This window comes from Homo sapiens, chromosome 18 (assembly GCF_000001405.40).
Source record: "Homo sapiens chromosome 18, GRCh38.p14 Primary Assembly".
Taxonomy (NCBI): Eukaryota; Metazoa; Chordata; class Mammalia; order Primates; family Hominidae; genus Homo; species Homo sapiens.
Genome location: NC_000018.10, coordinates 55,734,641 through 55,754,762, shown reverse-complemented (window position 1 = coordinate 55,754,762; position 20,122 = coordinate 55,734,641). Strand labels below are relative to the sequence as shown.

Genomic DNA, 20,122 nt, shown 5'->3' with positions numbered 1-20,122 from the left:
TCAAAAAAATTAATAAAATAAAATAAAATCCATTCCACAGCAACTCAATGTCATAAAACAGTATTTGAAGTTAAGATTGCATTAGTTTGGTAAGAAAACCATAACAAGGTACTACAGAATGGGTGGCTTAAACAACAAAAATTAGTTTCATCACAATTCTGAAGGCTAGAAATCACAGATCAAGGGGTCAGCAGGGTTGGTTTCTTCCCAGGCCTCTCTCCTTGACTTGTAGGTGGCTGTCTTCTCTTCGTGTCTACATGTGGTCTTCCCTCTGTATATTGATGTCCAAATTTCCTCTTCTTGTAAGGATACCAGCCAGATTGGATTAGGGCCCACTCTAATGATCTCATTTTAATTTAATTAATAACCTCTTTAAAGACCCTATGTCCAAATGCAGTCACATTCCAAGGTCCTGAGTGTTAGGACTTCAACATATAAATTTGGGTGGGGAGGACATAATTCGATCCACACAAAGGTCCCTGGGGTGAATTAATTCATTGTCTCTTCCTTACATCAGAATTAAGCAGCCTTATCTGCATCTATGGACATTTCCTAGAATCAGAGCCCACAATACCATCTTCATTTTCATCACCTCCAGTCAGCAGTCACTGCCCTTGTTTCACGTCTTGTGTTGGGTAAGGAGCTGCTGTCATTCCCAAAGTGAGTCATATGCCCATTGTGTCACTACAGCATAACACCTATGGGTATAAAGCCTCATTTTAGAATTTTCCAACTTATTGCCAGATATTAGCTCTAACCAGATCCTCATTTCTATCATTATCAGGAAGTTATATTTTACAAGTCAACTTTAAAGGAAACCACGTGATCTGAAATCAAAATAATTCATTTTGATTTACCTTTTTATTGATTCATTTCTACATCATCCTAGATTAGTCACTAACCGAAACTTATTTCCACAGAGGGCACTATCTAAGAATAAACATCCTGCTTATTCAGTTTGCAGCAGCACTAACAGGTCATGCCCAAGTAAGTATATTCAGATAAAATCTAATTTTAAGAATGCTATAATACTATAAACATAGTCGCAATTTTCTCCAAAAATGTTTACTAAAAAAGTAGATTTGGAAGCAATTCATATGATGGACACCTAATCATGAACATTTAACTATTCAAGATCCAAATAGGTTATTTTTATAAAGTAATGCATGCTATATTGCCATTTGTACTTGTTAAAATTTACAGTTACATAAATCAGCTTAATGAAATGGATATCTTGCATGTGTTTCAAGCATTTAAGAAATGATCAGTGTCTGAAATTTGAATCACACATGAAATGGATATTCAGCTAAGCTGGTCTGACAAATCTACTGTAAAACCACTTAGTAAAATGATTGCACTGAGCCTCAACTAAATCCAAAATAAACCAGATTAAACCTAAAACTTCAAAAAACCCCAACAAATCCTGTGATTTGCAAGAAATTTCATATTAAAAATTTCAAAATTTCTTGAATTCTATGAAATGAAAAAAATTGTTTTCTAAAAAAGAGCAGTTGGGATATTGACTTATTAAGCTCTTATAAAAAGATATGAGTTGAAATTGTAAAACTGTTCAAAAAAATTGAAGTTTTCTAACAGGATGCATGTAATGATTCAATTGATTAATACTTCAAATTTGATATACATGAACTATAAATGTGGAATTGTAAAGAAAAGATTAAAAATAAATTGGTTTAAAATCAAAAAACTGTGAAAGGATGGGTGAAAGAAAAATTGGCAAAAGAAACAAAAAAAGTGGCAAAGCAGAAAGCAATTTTTACAAGATCTGAAAGAAATCAATACAAACTGAATGAAGTCAGATGTGTTGGCTTGGGCCTATAATCCCAACTACTCAACAGGCTGGGGCAGGAGGATCACTTGAGCCCAGGAGTTTGAGACCAACCTGGCAGTATAGTGAGACACCAACTCAAACAAAAATAATATGAACAGAATATATATATATGAAATTTGGCACCTAATTAGGAAATACATTTTCTGGATATTTAACATTTAATAAGAAAGTTAAACCACCTTATGACCATTAGCAATTTACTTACAGAACGTGACTTAAAATACTGCTATGAAGACAGCAAAAAACCATCAACTAATTAGTTTTATAGAATCTTCCAAATCTGTTAAAACAATCCCACTCAATAAAAACTGCTGTAAGTAAGAGTTGAAATAAACATACTTTTTGGTAAATAGCTAAGTTCAGCAATTTGATTATTAAGCAAATTGATCTGGGGCATGATGACCTGGAATCAAAAATTAATTCCTGAGACTTCCTGTCTAGCCCACCCTAACATTTCTTTACTGTTCTTTCCTGGTCATCTCCTCCTCTGATTCTTTCCATGTTGATACAAGCCTGTAGAAGATGGGCCCCCAAGAATTACAAAATTTGAATTTTATCCTAATGCATAGGGAAAGAGGCTTGGAATTGGAATTGTGTTGATTGAAAACATTTGTATGTAACCACTTCACGCCCACTACGATGGTTATAATCAAAAAGACACATAAAACAACCGTTATAGGTGACATGGAGAAATTAGATCGCTTCTTCATTGTTAATGGGAACGTAAAATGATGCAGCCACTTTGGAAAACAGTTTGGAAGTTCCTCGAAATGTGAAATATAGAGTTACTATTTGACAAAGCAACTTTACTCCTGGGTATCTACTCGAGAGAATTGAAAACATACATCCACACAAATGCTTGTATACAAATTTTCATAGCGGCATTATTCATAATAGCCAAAATGTGAAAATGATCCAAATGTCCACCAACTAATGAATGGGTAAACAAAATGTGGCTTATCGATACAAAGGAATATTATTCGGCCATAAGAGGAATGAAGTACTGATACATGCTAAAATGCGGATGGGGCATGAAAACATTACACTAAGCGAAAAGATGGTCACAAAAGGCCACATATTATATGATTCTATTTATAGGAATGTCCAGAATAGGCAAATCCATAGAGAAGGAAAGTAGATTAGTGGTAGCCAAGAAGCAGGGAGGGAAGAATGGGGAATAACCTCTAGAGACTACAAGGTTTCTTACAGGTCATTTAGAAAGTGTTCTAAAATTAGATGGCAGTGATGGTTGCGCAACTCCGTGAATATACTAGAAACCACTGATTTGGACACATTAAAAGCGTGAATTTTATGATATATGAATTATATCTCAAAAAAGCTGATACATATATATCTGCTGTTATATATCTATATGTACATACATATATAAATAATTAGTTCTTTTATACTTGAGTTTGGGATTAAGATATATTTACAAAAATAAAGTTTATGTAAATGAGACCATACTATTCATGCTGTTTGGTAACGTGGCATTTCATGCAAAAGTAGTCTTGGATCTTTTTCCTTGTTGATGAAAACTTATATGTGTTATCTTTTTTTTTTTTTTAAGACAAAGTCTCGCTCTGTCGCCCAAGCTGGAGTGCAGTGGTGCGATCTCGGTTCACTGCAACCTCTGCTTCCTGGGTTCAAGGAATTCTCTGCCTCAGCATCCCGAGTAGCTGGGATTACAGGCACCCGCCACCATGCCCAGCTAATTTTTGTATTTTTAGTAGAGACGGGGTTTCACCATCTTGGCCAGGCTGGTCTTGAACTCCTGATCTCGTGATCCACCCGACTCGGCCTCCCAAAGTGCTAGGATTACAGGCACGAGCCACTGCGCCCAGCCTATATGTCATCTTTTTAAAGAGCTCTCCAGTATACCATTGCATAGTTCTACCATGATTACTTAATCATTTAGATCATTTCCAGTGTTTTGGTAAAGCAACAACACAATTAGGCACACACACAGACACACATACACACATATATGCATACATAAACCTATATATCTGCACACTTCTTCAATTATTTTCTAAAGAAAAATCTCCTAAATAAATTTTTTAAAAAAAGGCTCCTACAAATGGGATTTCTGGGTACCTGCCCATTTTAAACGTTGATCCATATTGTTAAATTGCCTTTTAGAAACACTGTTTTAAATCAGTTTACACCATCCCCAGGTGTGATAGAGACTGCCCCTTCCCCCATTTACATCTTCATCATCAATGCTGAGTTTAATCAAAGGTCTTTTTTTCTTAATCCTCATCAATCTAAACTCTAACAAAGGATTAGTTGTTGCTTTTATTGGCATCTATTTGACTACTATTGAGGTTGAATATCTTCCACATACATTTTGGTCATTGGTATTTCCTCTTCTGTATGTCTCTTATCATTTTAAAAAAATTGGAGTCATTGTCATTTTCTCATAACTTGAAAGTTCTTTTTGTGCAGTAGCATCGTTAACCCTTTATCAGATGTTTTGAAAATGGCTTTTCCTACCAAAAATGATTCTACAGCTTGATTAAAATACATGTTCCCTGTTAAGCTGGAAGGGTTAGAGCACCAGCGCCACCTTTGACTACAGATCTTAACAAGATGAAAAGGATGAAATTGAGTTTCTTGGCAGCTAGCGAGCTTCTTGTCATTCGAAACGTTCAAATGTAGACAAGTTTACCATCTAGCCAGGATGTTGTCAGAGGCAATTCAAACATCAGAAGGGTGGTTGGACCAGGTGACTTTAATGATCTCTCCCAAACCTGAAAGTGTAGGAGTTTGTGAGGGAGACAAATATTTAACTTCATGAAAGCAAGCCACTGCACCTGTGATAACAAGTGAGGAATTGATTTCTGTCACACATACACACACATACACGCACAAAATCCTTGTGGGAGTGGAATAGCCTGAGCTCAGATGCCAACAAAAGGCATCAGTGTGTCTGTATCTATGTGTGAGTGATGTCTGGATGGGTGTCTATGCGGGAGTGTGTGTGTGTCAGTGTATGCACGTGTGCCTGTAAGTATGTGTCTGTAAGTGCATATGAAGGAGGGAGGTATGGAGGAGAAAAGTGCATGTTGGCTAAAATTACATTTCTGTGTATTGCAGTACATTTTTTTCCCAATGTAATGAGAAGTCTAGAGTAGAAAGTCAAAGGAAGAACAGACCTCTATTTTCAAAGAAAAAGGGAAATGGTTATACTTCCACAAAAAAGGAAGAATAGAAGAAAGAAGAAACAAGGCAACCAATCAAACATGAACACTGCTATTTTGTCTTATGTCTTTCTCCTTTCTTCTATATATTGACTTTTTTTTTTTGACTCATCTGGGTAACTGCTTTAATTCTTCTTTACCTTGTTTCAAAGAGGCAGCAGGTTCCATTTGATAATGGAAATCAATTAGTAATAGCTGTCATTTATAGAGTAGACACTGAACCGAGGATGTATGTATATTTGTGTGTGTTTTTTCTCAACTCCATGAAATAGGTATTATTAATCTAATTTTATAGGTGAGGGACTGGGGGGACAGAGAAGTTAAGTAACTTGCCCAAGGTTACACAGCTAGTAAACAGCAGTGTCAAAATTCAAACTCAGACAGCCAGGTTCCAGAATCCAGCATGCTAACCCCTACTCAGTACTACCTCTTACCTAGCACAGTGGTTATGTTAGGCTTGGCAGTCCATAGCAGACTTGGCTTCAGATTCATGCTCTGACATTTAAAAGTTGTGTGACTTTGGAAGAACCATTTCCTTGTTCAGAGCCTCAGTTTCCTCATTTATTAAATGGCACTAAGCTGGGTGTGGTGGCTCCCAGCTGTAATCCCAATTACATGGGTGGATGAGGCAGGAAGATCACTTGAGGCTAGGAGTTTGAGACTAGCCTGAGCAACACAGTGAGACCCCGTCTCTAAAACTATATACAATGGCACTAGTATCTTTTCCCAGGGTAGTTGTGAAGATGAAATGAGATCAATTTGAGACTGAAACATAGGAAACACTTACTAAATCACAGCTGTGGCTACATACTTGCTCCTAACTTACAAGCCATAGAAATTTGAGGCTAGAAGTTTTCTAAAGACAATCAAACTATGCTATAAGACCAGGCCTCTTAGAAAAGTGGAAAGTATATCAGGAAAAATACCAGGGTAGAAATTAAAGCCTCTCTCGACCCTTCAAGGGCTGCTAGGGTGATAAGACCACTTGCTACTGAGAGGTTTTGTTATCCTCCACACAGATCCCTGAAAGCTCTGGTAGGATTGGGTAATCTTAGGTGATAAGGGAGATGTAAGGAATTACGACTCCTGATAAGCCACTGTGGTTTTGTTTTCCCATACTTTGAGGAGATATGGGTGACACAGATAAAGTACTGACAAAAGCCCCAGGTGGGCTTAAAATGCCTCCTCATGCCTGGGAGTGTTGGAGGCTGATGACATTCAGGGCTGACCCGCTACTATGCTCCATGTTAGTGTTATCTCTATGGCCGTGTGCTCAGCACCCTCAGGGGCCAGGTCAGGCGGGAGCACTCCAAAGAGAGTAGAGTGAGAGTTTGGCAGCTTGTTAGTCAGCCAGACTCTCTGAAGAGAGAAAGTGCCCTTGGGTCTCAAGAATGCTGTGTTTTGTTATCATTGGAAGACACTACAGATAGGTGGGAGGCACTGTGTGGAAGGCAGGGTCAGACAAGCCTTCAGCTGGCCAAGTCAGACTAGGTAGAGTCACTGTGGTCGTACTGTGGGAACACTGAGGAAAAGTGGTTGGTTCTGACTGGGTGAGATGGGGGAACGGGGAGGAATGAAGACTTCATAGGAATAATGGCAGCCTCTGAGCAGGTCCTTGAACGAAGAATGACTAGGATGTTGTTTGGCAGAGAAGGGATGATGAATTCTCCAGCCATCACCAAGGTGTGGTGGCATTAAACGCCCAAGTTGGTGCAGTACATTCCACAGCAAGGAGGTGTATCATTTTACCAGACGCCTCCATCCACTTCCCCCCACCAACCTCATACAAGCGAAAACTAGCTATTTTCCATGAATATATGCCATATTTAAAGACATGCAAATATAACAACTTGCTGAAGATTGAAAAGTATTTCTAAAAACAATGTTGACTAGAGTGAGAGGAAACAAGAATGTCAGTGAGAATCTAAATTGGTACAACCTTTGGTAAAGCAATTTGCTACTATCTGGCAAAAAATTATCTGTGTGTAACCTTTGACTTTGCATTTCCACAATGTATAACTCTAGCCTACAGAGAAAAAATGTATTGGAGGGTTTCACTCATTTATTAAGCAAATATTTCCTGCATCCCCACACATGACAAAGTGCTGGTGTCACTATTAGAAATATAGTAATGAACAAGGCAGAAAAATCCCTGCCCTCACAAAAGTTATATGAACAAATAAGCGAATCGTGTTATTTAATTTCGGATACTGATAAGTGCTATGAAATAAATTAGGAAGAAAAAGAATGACAGAGGGAGTTTCTCTCTGAGAAGGTGACATTTGAACAGGAACTGAGTTGTGGTTAAAAGGCCCATGAGAAGATCTAGAGAGACAGACTCTTAGGCAAAGGACATGTTTATTTCAACAATGGGGATGTATAATAGCAAAAGAAACCCACAAACAAAATATTGAAAATAATGTTGTTTGTCTTTTCAGACTGTGTTAAATAAGTTTATGTATATGTGAAATGGAATAGCATGCAATATAGTTTAAGAGAATAAGGTGTTCTAATGTACTAATAATAGCATATTTTCCAAGTTACATTAAAATTATCTTTTGAAAAAGTTCTGGTGTTAAATATAGTATGATCCCATTTGTTCTTCTAGAATTCACTTTCTTTTTTCTTCTCTTTTTTTTTTGTTTTGAGACGGAGTTTCACTCTTGTTGCCCAGTCTGGAGTGCAATGGCACAATCTTGGCTCACTGCAGCCTCCGCCTCCCGGGTTCAAGTGATTCTCCTGCCTCAGCCTCCAAAGTAGCTGGGATTACAGGTATGCGCCACTCCACTCGGCTAATTTTGTATTTTTAGTAGACACAGGGTTTCTCCCTGTTGGTCAGGCTGGTCTCAAACTCCCGACCTCAGGTGATCAGCCCGCCTCTGCCTCTCAAATGCTGGGATTACAGGCATGAGTCTTATAGAATTATTTACCTTTCTAGTAAACCACTGAACATAGTTTTTGAGTTGTCAGAGTGGATCCAAAGCTATTCTTATGTCCAGAGCTGGCTTCTTGGTGTCACATAGGACCCCATACTGAGTTTAACACTCTGTTGTCACCATTGAAATAGTGAATTGAAAAGAATTGCCCCATATTGAAATTCTTAATAATTTGTGAACCTGAGGCCCCACATTTGCATTCTGCACCAGGCCTCACAAATTATGTGGTTGGTGTTGAATAGGGCACTGGGCCATTTTTGGAGACGTGAGGCTTGTAACACTGATTATCTGTCCCAATAGCATGTGTAAATTGCTGAAATCAGAGTGAAATTGGCATCAAGAGTCACTGGAAAAATTGGCCGGGTGTGGTGGCTCATGCCTGTCATCCCAGCACTTTGGGAGGCCGAGGCGGGTGGATCACGAAGTCAGGAGTTCAAGACCAGCCTGGCCGAGATGGCGAAACCCCATGTCTAATAAAATCTACAAAAAAAAAAAAAAAAAAAAATTAGCTGGGCATGGTGGCAGGCTCCTGTAACCCTAGCTACTCAGGAGGCTGAGGCAGGAGAATCGCTTGAACTCGGGTGGTAGAGGTTGAGGTGAGCCGAGATTGCACCACTGCACTCTAGCATGGGCGACAGAGCGAGACTCCGTCTCAAAAAAAAAAAAAAAAAGTCACTGGAAAAATTAACAGAGAGCTATGCTCCACCTAAGGAGTACTGCTCCTCCCCTCTGCTTGAGAGTTTTAATAAAGAATGGTGGGCTTAGGCGTGATATCTTCTAATTTTTCAAAACAAAAAAACTGGAAATCTGATTTTTTTTTATGTGAAACTCCAAACTTGGAAATGTTGTCAACCAATTAATAGGTAAAATCTAAATAGACTATGTCCATACACCAAATTTGGTTTCTAGGTTTCATCCCATGTTTTCTTTTCCTCAAAATGTCAGGGGGATTTGCAATTCAGGACTTGCATTTTTACAAATTAGCCAGACACAGAGTTTTCCCCCACACAAAAGGTGTTCGAATGAGTTAGCAAAAACAAGGGCAGTGCCTGCAGTTCACAGCAGAGCATGTCTAGTTGTTTTGAAGGCCCAAAGATGATGGGGTGGCTGCAATCTTATTTGAAATTCAAAATCTTTCCCTTACTAATTATGTTATTTGCCTTTGTTTTGAATGTTTTAGCATTATTGTTATAGGGGAACCTGGAGAATGTTATAACGGCTTCATATTTTCAGAATGTTTTTCAATTGTGATGTGAAAACCAAACAAAGAAACAAAATTCTGGTGTGTGTTTACAAGTTATGTCTTTGAGCAATGCCATTAGAGAATTTAACAAAATGAGAACCAGCCCTTGGACAGAATGCACTTTGCAGCTCCAAACACTGGAAACGTCTTTTAGGATCAGAGGGCTTGAAAAGAAGATGAAAGTGGTGTTAAAATTAAGAACAATGTAGTACAAATAATTTAGTCTTCAATTTCTGAGATTTTAATGAGCTGTCCTTTACAGTCATACATTTAAATAGCCTCTTAATGGATCCCCCCACATTCTCAACCCAAATCTTAGAATTTTCTGTTTCAAATCAGGAATATCCTGGATTTTAGATCATTTTAAATATTTTTTTAGTGTAAGAAAGAGATTTAGTATCTTACAAAAAAAATGAAGACAATACTTTCAAGGGCCAGGGAGATGCTCTTGGTCTGTAAACTGTTCCCACTCAGCGACAGGTTATCCCACAGGTTCTTGGTGCATTTCCCATGCCTCTTTCCAACCCCATCATATAATGACCACTTTTATGGGGGCTCATGAAAATGGCATTGGCCCCAGTGGTTGGCAATATATTGTTATGGTGCCCATGAGAGAAGCCCCCTACCCATCACTACCCAGTCAGCAAGTCCTCAGTGGTCGCTATAAAACTTAACTCTTTAAAACCAGCTCTTCAGGTTAATCAGTTTCCAATGATTATAAGAATACCAGGCAATCTAACTACTGGTGGTAAGAAGATTAAGAAAACCAACTAAGGAAATTAGCTGGAGGATTGTTGAGTTTTCCTTTCCATTGAAAGAGAAAACATTAAGGGGTGGGGGCATTCTCTTCATTAGCTCCCATATTATTAGGCATGTGGCCTGTCTCATGGCTGGGAACAAGTTCCGTGAAACAGGCATATTGCCTTTATGTCACACACCAAGATTTTCCCAGATGCTTTAAATATATGAAAGAATCTTGCTTTCCTCCCATTTTTTACGGTTACATTTTACTGTTTGCTATAAAAGTAAGTGGTTAGCAGATCCATTTCTCTGCCTCCAGATCTGCTGATGCCTTTCATTTTATGCAAGCCAGTTGCTTATGAGTTACCTACCATAACTCATATATTTGTGGTCACCAATGACACAAGACTGCGATGATTTGATTGCAATAAACAGCTTCTTGAACTTGTTACCAGCATTATACTAAGACTCAGAGTTGTTAGACAAGAATGTGTACTTTCATATTTTCCTTCTATGCCTATACCCAGAAATAATCATTTTAGAGGCAACACCATTATCTTGATTTTCCAAAACAAAATAACTTTGCATGCAAAAAAGCCAAACAACTGAATGCAACACAAACCTAACTTTCCTGAAGCAATCACGGCTCTTTACACATTTGTTATTCTGTTTGACATACACAATAAATCGTAATAGTTACCAAATTACTGTTCGGTTTCAAATGATGTGCACACATCTATAATCTTAGTTAGCTGCTTGCTGGCCTGCATCAGGAATGCCATTGCATCCTCCAGGGTAATTCTATATCAATGACTTTTCCAAATAAATCTAGTTGCTGGTTTATATTAATGAACTGTCACAGTTTCTATTGTTTTCCCATGGCCTTGCAGCTGTATTCCTTCACAGGTGCTTGGCAAATTAAAATGATGCTGGTTTGGGGTTTCAGCTTGATACAAAATCACTCCTTCAGCAGATTGTTAGGAAGTTATTCATGCAAGAAACACATCTTTACTCAAGACATTCAGCTTCTCGGCTTATCCAATACCCATGCCTTATTGACACTTTGCGTTTCTGTTCTCCTCACCAAAGAAGTACAAAGAGAGATTGTCTTTCTTGCTTAGAACATCTCTATTAAAGAATCACCAGCATTGGAAGCTTTTTGTTTTTTTAAGGAAATGTGTTCTTTTCAGTTTGTCCTAACACTGGGTTCACAAATCACAAACATTTATTACTGATGTTTGCAGATTATATATCTTTTGGGGTTGTTTTTGTTAACATCAATTACCCAAGGGATCAACAGACAGAAAGAAAATTATTATATACTAACTATCCAAAACCACATTAAATGCTCCCTTTTGGATCTACTGTAACCTTTATTTAAAAATATTTTGCTCATGACTAACTTCTACCAGTGAAAATGAGAATGTTTAACATGCAAGTGCCTACTCAATCAAATTATCCATGCGTCAGTTTAGACGGTGCTTCCTCCCTGCACTGCAGCTCCCTACACCTCAATTACCCCTCATCACCCTGAATTCCTCTCTTGACCACTTGGAAGCTGTTATCACAGCACCTTCTCTCTGACCAATGGGGTGTCCTAGGCTACCCCTCCAAGAGCCAGCACACTATCAGTTCTCTTAGGTGCTCCAGTTCTGCATTTCCACACATCCACACACCTTCCTTTTAGATGGGTTGCAAGTTTTGGGGATTTTGTTTTTTTGTTTTTAATATTCATCTTTATCCTTAATGTAAGGCCTGCTGCCAAATTGCTGTATACTCAAAATTACCTGTGCATCTTACTCTGTGAATTCTGTTTTTATATTTGCCATTTATTACAATAGGGATGCAAATGCCAATCCCTTTGGGATAAAGCTAAGACTTTTCTTCCAATCTCCCTCATAAACCCAAATGGCATAAAATGCTGACTTTCTACTCAATATCTCATATCCATTGCTTGTCTTCCAGCTTAAAGAGAGGGAGAGAACGGCACTTCCTCGCACATGTGATGGTCAAGGAGTTATAAATGGAAATGAGTACATGCAAGCCTTCCTTCCCCTGGTTTTGGTGTGACAGGCACAAGGCTACAAATAGAGGTCCATATACTAGATGCCTAAATATTTAAAGATTATAAATTGAGTTCCCATGCTGTTGAATAGAATAGCTTCTATACCCCTGCTGTGACTAGTATATCTTCATAATATCTGGAAGGCCTGGAATACTCACCTCTTTCAAGTTCCAAGCCATGCGGCTTTTCAGTCCAGTGGCCTGGGTCCTTTCTCTTTCTACCCTCAACTCCAACCCATACAACAAGGGGACTCAAGAACATGCACATGGACATTCCACTACTCAAGTCCAAGTTTCATCCACTTCTGCCCACCTGCCTCCCAAGTACAATCTCCTCTTAGCCTGTGGGTGTGTGCACCACTGGCACATTCTGCTGTTAGAAGGATGGACCCATGAAAGAGGCCCACATAGACCTACAAGTGGGCTAAAATTCCAGAGTGCCCACAGCATTCTCTAGAAGAAGTGGGTAGGCTCTTGGTGGGCATTTTTCTTTAGTCTAGTGGCCTCAATGCAGAGGACACAGCCAGGGGAGGGCCAGGGCAGGTCCTGGAAAGCCCAAGTCCAAGGCCAATTCTGGTAATTGGGGCCTCTCAGAAAGTTCTTTAAAGGGGGTTAACTCAGCTGGGCAGCTCCTTTTGCCCCTTTACTTTCCTTCTTTGTTTATACATGGGACCTCCAATATAATAGCTGGAACTATGGCAGCCATTTTTTCAGCATGAGGATAAAGGCCTTTCTTTAAGCCTACAGTCAAAGAACTAGAATGAGCCAAGATTTCTGCTGACCATCCCAGCTGTAGGCTGCTTATCTTTAGATTTCTGCTTATATGAGAGAAAAAATGCCATCTCTTGTTTTCGCCATTATTTTTTAGTCCATGTTACAGCCAAACACAACATCTATTGTAACAGCCAAACACAATATCTCATTGACACAGATGTGTACAAGTTGAAAGGTAGATACTGATCACCTCTATTGTTAATCTGAGGAGTGCCTCAACACATAAAACATACAGATGCTAGAGGAGCTTAACAGATGTCTTTTGAATGAAATGGACAGAGTGGAGGAAGGGAGCATTATCAGCAGAGAAAATGGAATGAGCAGAGAGGTCTGTATATGGCCAAGGCATATACGGAAAATGGGGAGTAGAATAATTGGATTCCTAATGGGAAAGATTACTGAGGTCTGAGTTAAGCTGGTTGGGTTGGGACCCACATGGAAATGTGAAAGGAAAGCAGATTAACCTATCATTCCCACGCACCTGCACTAGGTCTGCCATGTAAGCACTCAGTTAAACGACACCCCTTTGAAGTCTTCCTTCCCCAGAGAAAATTGATTGCACTCAAGAAGACACACACAATTTCACCCATATTCACTCACACTCACAAAGCATGTTGTAAAATTTCATCATTGTACATAGGCTAGCAATTGTTTACCTGTTTGTTTGCTCACTCCTCTGTAAAGTCCTTGGGCATCAGGACTTCAAATGCATAGCTGAAGACATTTATTAGATTAACCTGCTACTGCTAAGCTGGAGGTCTTAGAAGAAAGAAAAACTAGGCCAGGCACGGTGGCTCGAGCCTGTAATCCCAGCACTTTGGGAGGCTGAGGCAGGCAGATCATGAGGTCAGGAGATTGAGACTAGCCTGGCCAATACGGCGAAATCCCGTCTCTACTAAAAATAGAAAAAATTAACTGGGCATGGTGGTGGGCGCCTGTAATCCCAGCTGCTTCGGAGACTGAGACAGGAGAATCACTTGAATCTGGGAGGTGGAGGTTACAGTGAGCTGAGATCGTGCCACTGAACTCCAGCCTGGGTGACAGAGTGAGACTTTGCCTCAGAAAAAAAGAAAAGAAAAGAAAAACTAATTGAGACTATTTCAATAGTTCAGGTTTAAAGAAATTCCTGGTACTGAATGGAGAGCACCAGGAATAGAAAGTGAATTGTAGATGCAATGACTATTGTGAATAAAATTAAGAAAGCAGAAATGAGATTAAATTCAAACTGCAAGAAGTAAAAGAATTTACAGATGACAGGAAGATTTTGAGATTAAGTGACTATAAGAATGATGGTACTAGAGTGAAAAATATGAAAATCAAGCAGAGAAACTTGTTTCAATGAAAAAATCAAATAACTTCTGGTTTAATCTTGCTGAGACTGAGTAGTCAGTGAGACATTAAAGTCATGATGTTTAATAGGAAACTAGAAATGTAATAAAACTTTAGAGTGCTTTCCACTTTTTAATACTGGTGAATGTTCATTCAATTCCCTTGCTGTGCTTTTCTTTATTTAATTTAATATTCAAACTTTTAAATGTAATTTTCTCCATTTCACAGATGAGGAAACTGAAGAACACTGAGATTTAGTCAATTGCCCAAGGACGTAGAGCTGGTAAGTGTCAGAGTCAGGGTTCAAACCCTGGCAGCCCAAGTAAATCACCACCTGAACCAGCTTCAGGCTGTGGGGCTTTCTTGGTCTGCCCATTCTGGCCCCAGAATCATGCTTGCAACTCCCAAAGGAGTCCACTCATTCTGTGTCTTCATACTCAGAAGTAAATTTCCCTAAAATGATTTTCAAGTGTAGAATACCAGTTCTACGTGGCAATACGTATTCCCCAAAAGTAAAGGGAAGAGAGGAAACACAGGATTTTTAGGGTGGTGAAACTATTCTGCATGATACAAACAATAGTAGATAACTGTCATTTCACATTTGCCCAAATGCATAGAATGTACATCACCAAGAGCGAACCCTAATGTAAATTGTGGACTCTGGGTGATAATGATGTGTCAATGTGGGTTCATCCATTGTAATAAATCCACCACTCTGGTAGAGGGTGTTGAAAATGGGGGAAACTGTGCATGTGTGCGGCTGGCATTTATATAGGAACTTTCTATACTTTCCTCTCAATTTTGCTGTGAACCTAAAACTTCTCTTTAAAAAAATAGTCTTTCTTTTTTAAAGGGGAAGTTGTATTCAATTAGGCAGAATTCAATTTTGCAGGACTTCTCAGAGCCTGTAACATGCTAATAAGCATTGTGAGGCAGAGTACATCGTCTTCCCAGACTTCTTGACCAAATAATAAGTTATTTTTCTCTGGGATGTCAAAGGCCTGGTGCTCTATGGGACCCACTTTGGAAAGGGTTGCTCAGCTCAGTACTTTATGAAAACAACAAAAATTTTGTTGCAAAGGCCTGATCTCACATTATCAAGTCAAATAAAAATACACTTTACTTTATAACCATCATTTCCAGTCTTGACTGAATCACCTGGAGACTTTAAAAAATATATTAATGGCCAGCTCACACTCTGAGGTGTTCTGATTCTATGGTTCTGAGCTAAGGCCCAGGAATCAAAGATTCCTGATGGTTTCTAAAGTATAGCCAAGTTTGAGAAGATTATTCCTGCTCTGAAATAATCTTAAGCATAATTATTACTTTTATTTTTATTTTTTGTAGAGATTGGGTCTTGTTCTGTTGACCAGGCTGGTCTCAAACTCCTGGTCACAAGTGGTCTTCCCTCCTTGGCCTCCCCAAGTGCTGGGATTATAGGCATGAGCCACCATGCCTGGCCCTTAAGCATAATTATATACAGAAAACTACACAGGACCCGGATTGGATTTTGAATATCACGTCTTAATTTCCTGTCATTAAGGAATTATCAGTAACTACTAGAGAATCATCACTGTTCTGATCAAAGCCTGGATTTCTCTTGTTTCATCCAGGTTCCTCTAGGTGCCCACTTTCTTTTTTGTCATGCACTGGTCCATGCTGGGATGCTGCTCCTGCCTATCAGATTCCTTATCACACTATATTGCATTCCATTGCATGTTCTACTTATTCCATTGCTCAATGATGACACAAGTAAGGTCTTTATTAACAGCATTAGAACAGTTGGCTTCTTACAATGCATATTGTGCTAAAAGTCTGACATCAGCTGTTTATACTTCTACTTATACAATACCGCAGCTCTGTTACCTCTTTCGTGCACTATCTCCCTCCCTCCCTGTCTGTCTCTCTCCCTGCCCTTGTCTCTCTCATTGGAGCCTTTATTGACATTGCTAGTTGTCTCTGTGCTCTGCCCTCATATAATGTGTTCTGCCTGCTCCAGAAGAGATAAGATGGGTGTCTTATACTTTGTTTTCATTTTTGGCAAGGAAAGTGGCTTTCAGACTTAATGTGAGGTGGAAATGGATTCTTCATTTTAGGGGAAAAAATCAACCCTAGGATATATCCTGCATGTGTCTATTAAACATTCTTTTTAACTTTAGCAGCTGGGCAGTTCACTCTCTCAATATTTCACAACCATTTCCATGCAGATGGCTCTATAGTCTGGGATGGTTGCCTCCATCCTTCCTTAGCCCTATCTCAGATGGTCAGCACTGCAAAAAGTACAAGTTTCTGGCCCCAGAGGCAGGTGAATCTCCATACTAAGAGATTCAGAATCATTAAAAGCTCAGCCATAACTTCAGCCCTGAGTCATATCAGAGACACAAAGTGATGCCTGTGGAAGCCTGGAGACAGCCAAAAGTTAGGGAGTGTTGACAAGGAAGAGAAAGGAGTAGAAGACTGGATAAAATTGTGGAGGAAGTAGGGAAAGATAGGAAGCAGAAGGAAAGGGAGAAAATAAAGGAGAAAGGGAAGAGAAGGGGAGGGGAAGGTAAGAGGAGAGGGGAAGGGAGGAGGGAAGGGGAGGAAAGAAACAAGACAGGAATTACAGGATAACATCTACTATGGCCTCAGGTGCCATTTGGCTTCATACTTTGACTAACTCTTCCCTAGACACCAGACAGATCATATCAACATAACTAATCCCTGTTCTTCTTCGTAAGATTATGATCAATAACAGCTTTATGAATTGTAGGGATATGTAGTTAAGTGAAAGCAACCAGTAATTTAGAGAGTAGTCACCTAGTCAACCAAATATTTGGGAAAAAAACCAAAGCTCAAATTTTAATTCTAATAACACAGTATTTCATAGACTTATTAGAACAATTTTGAGGTTACCAGTGCACAATTATGGCCTGCCTTTTTTAATTGGTCAGATAGAAAAATATCTGCTATCCACAGTGTCTTTTATGATTTGAATTAAACCTTTCCCATGGAGTTGATTGCTGGGGCTCTTCCATCAAGCTTCTTGTTAATATTCCTTGTAATATTCTCACCTGTTCTGATGTCAGTCTGGCTCATCCATCACCCCTGAGGAGTTATTGTCGCATCCAGGGCCACCAACTCATTCTGCATCCAAATAACGCTCTGACGCAGCCAGAGATTTATGACCCATCTCTGATTCTATCATCTCAGGCCAGGCTGGTCTAGGCCTTTGACTAGACATCTCGATAGTGTAATTGTGTTTAAAATTTTCCCTCCACTGCTGGCAGAGTCTAACTTCTAACAATAGAGGAGGCACCTATATTCCATAAGATCTGGAACAGGCTGACCTACTGTGGATCCCCTTAATCCATTGGAAATCCAAGCTAACATGGGACACGTTTTATGCACAAGTGGAATGTGCACATCTGTGCGTGCGCTCGCTCTCTCTCTGTTTCCTCTTCTCTCATTTACTCCAGTTATGGAAATAAATTATATATTTTCCTTATTTCTTCCACATTACCTGAATTCTCAGCTACTCTGAATTTTTTTTTTTATTATTTACTATTTCAAAATCTACTAAGTTGCTTATGTCACTAAGAATGTTCATTCTAAAATGCTGGTGATCCATTTAGGATCAATTCCTTTAAAAATATGCCCACATAATTAACGCAATCTTTCTGAGAGTAAGGCTTGGCTTCCTCCAAAAATGCTGTGAATTCTTAATACGTTCTGAAGAACAGGAAATGGGCTGCTCTTTTGACAAGGTCATAACATGGCTTTATTTATTTATTTATTTATTTATTTATTTGAGTGAGACGTAGTTTCGCTCTTGTTGCCAAGGCTGCAGTGCAATGGCACGATCTTGGCTCACTGCAACCTCTGCCTCCCGGGTTCAAGCACTTCTCCTGCCTCAGCCTCCCAAGCAGCTGTGATTACAGGCATGTGCCACCACGCCTGGCTAATTTTGTATTTTTTTTTTTTTAGTAGAGATGGGATTTCTCCATGTTGGTCAGGCTGGTCTCGAACTCCCGACCTCAGGTGATCCACCCTCCTCTGCCTCCCAAAGTGCTGGGATTACAGGTGTGACCCACCACGCCTGGCCATAACATGGCTTTTTAGTGTTCCCTATTTGATGTGTAGATATGAGGGATGGAAGATTCAATAAATAATAAATAAATCACAGAAATAGATGCTGAACCCACTTACATTCTGAGTTTTAACTCAGCTCAGCAGTCATTTCTTCATGCAGCCATGCAATACTTTATCTGCTTTTCATGTAACCCATGTCCTTTGTGTCTGAGCAAGCAAAATGGGAGATTCCCTGAATACATGGGCCCTCTGTACATTTTGTTTTGATGCTTCTCAAGGAAAGGGTTTCCATTGGGGTGGATGTTCTGCTGGTTGTTGATTCAATCTCAGCTTCCTCAGTGACAGCCTGTCTCAACACTGTCAATACCTCTTCAGTGTTGACAATAAACAGGCATGATGGCAGGCTGTTCTTGTCTGCTCACTTAATGACTTCACTGATGACATGCAGGTGTGCACTGATGTTGTACCTCGTCTTGAAGCTTTCATGGTAGTTGGAGGGCTGGTTCCATTAAATTCTAGTCTTGTGAGAATAAAGAAAACTGTTCTGGGCACTCACCAGCTCGAGATGAGCAATGTACGAATCCCCGATCGTAATTTTCAATACAGTATTAAGGATAGATTAGGTCACTTCATCTAATAGACTGAAATGCATCAGGACCATGCTTGTAGTTACAAGCACTTGAAGAAGTTAGTCTACCCTTCCCACTTAACAGTTGTTAACATTGTTCAGCCTTTAAATGCAAGGACTCCAAGCATAGTTCCAAACACTCAATAACAAATTTGCTTCACTCATTTTGTGAAGTTTCACTTGTCCTTTGAGCACATAAGAGACAATAAAGCTTGGTGTTTATGCACATGAACTGTGGAACCAAACTGTCCTGCTTTGAATGCCAGCATTGTTCAACATCTCTGTGACTCACTTTCCCCACATGTGCCTTTGAACTAAACAATAGTACCTCCTTTTTACAGTTACAATTAAAATCAAACAATGCCTGCCATATAGTACATGCTCAATAATGGTGAGCTGTTATTAATGAAACTGAAAGCAAAAAGGAGGTGAAATGATTTTTCTTAGGACTAGAGAAGGGGCCTAAGACAGGCCTGGGAATCCAAAGCTAGTCTTGAGATCACCTTTCCACAGCTGCATCCAACAGATAATATCCCCCAGACAGTGCAGGCTATCAGTGGTGATTGAGTGATTGATTCCTTTATATCTGTTTGCTTGTTTACTCTGCCGCTCACTACTTTTAAGAACACTTTTTCCCTGAAGTTGTTTGTTCTTTTTCCTAATTGTCATCTTGGGTGTCTAGTGCTGACACGGCTGCTAAAGCTCGTGCAGAATCTGTGTCTGTCAACACCAGGCTTGACTTTGCCTCTAATGCAGTTAGTTACCAGCTGCTCCTCGATGGAAGGAGATGAAGGGACACTTGTGAATATGTTAATTTGCTCAGTTTCCTAATGGAGCCTACAGGAATGTAGACATTAATACAGGACTAGACTTGACCTAGCCAATCATCACATATCTACCGGACATCTATTATATACAGAAAGATAGAATGGGGGAGAGCAGAGGATGACTAAAGAGAGGAAATAGGCATTATTTATTCAGGGCCTTAGGTGCACTGGGCACAGTACTAGGCACTTCAGATGAATTCTTTTATTCAATCCCCATCCTATTTTATAGATGAAGAAGTGGAATCTCAGAAAGTTGTGCTAGAAACAGCCAAACCTAAGAAGCCTGACTCCAGAGTAGACCAAGAACAACATTATGGATGGAAGTGATTGACACATAAATGAAAGAAATTTACATCAGTGTGTCCTTGTATTAGTCTATTTTCATGCTGCTGATAAAGACATACTTGAGACTGGGTAATTTATAAAGAAAAAGAGGTTTAATGGACTCACAGTTCCA

General features: G+C 39.4%; 1 long non-coding RNA gene across 1 annotated transcript in view, besides 1 other annotated feature; it reads right to left on the bottom strand.

Moving 5' to 3' along the window:
• The window catches only part of LOC105372130 (uncharacterized), a 177,123-nt gene that overhangs the window by 87,637 nt on the left and 69,364 nt on the right, over positions 1-20,122 (bottom strand). The window lies entirely within an intron of this gene.
• Positions 181-1,380: an enhancer, noted in NCBI's record as "P300/CBP strongly-dependent group 1 enhancer chr18:53420614-53421813 (GRCh37/hg19 assembly coordinates)". NCBI's record gives its function as "activates an origin of replication core promoter dependent on BRD2, BRD4, P300/CBP, MED14 and CDK7 cofactors, with strong dependence on P300/CBP, by STARR-seq in HCT116 cells {active_cell/tissue: HCT116}" and the evidence as "EXISTENCE:reporter gene assay evidence [ECO:0000049][PMID:35650434]".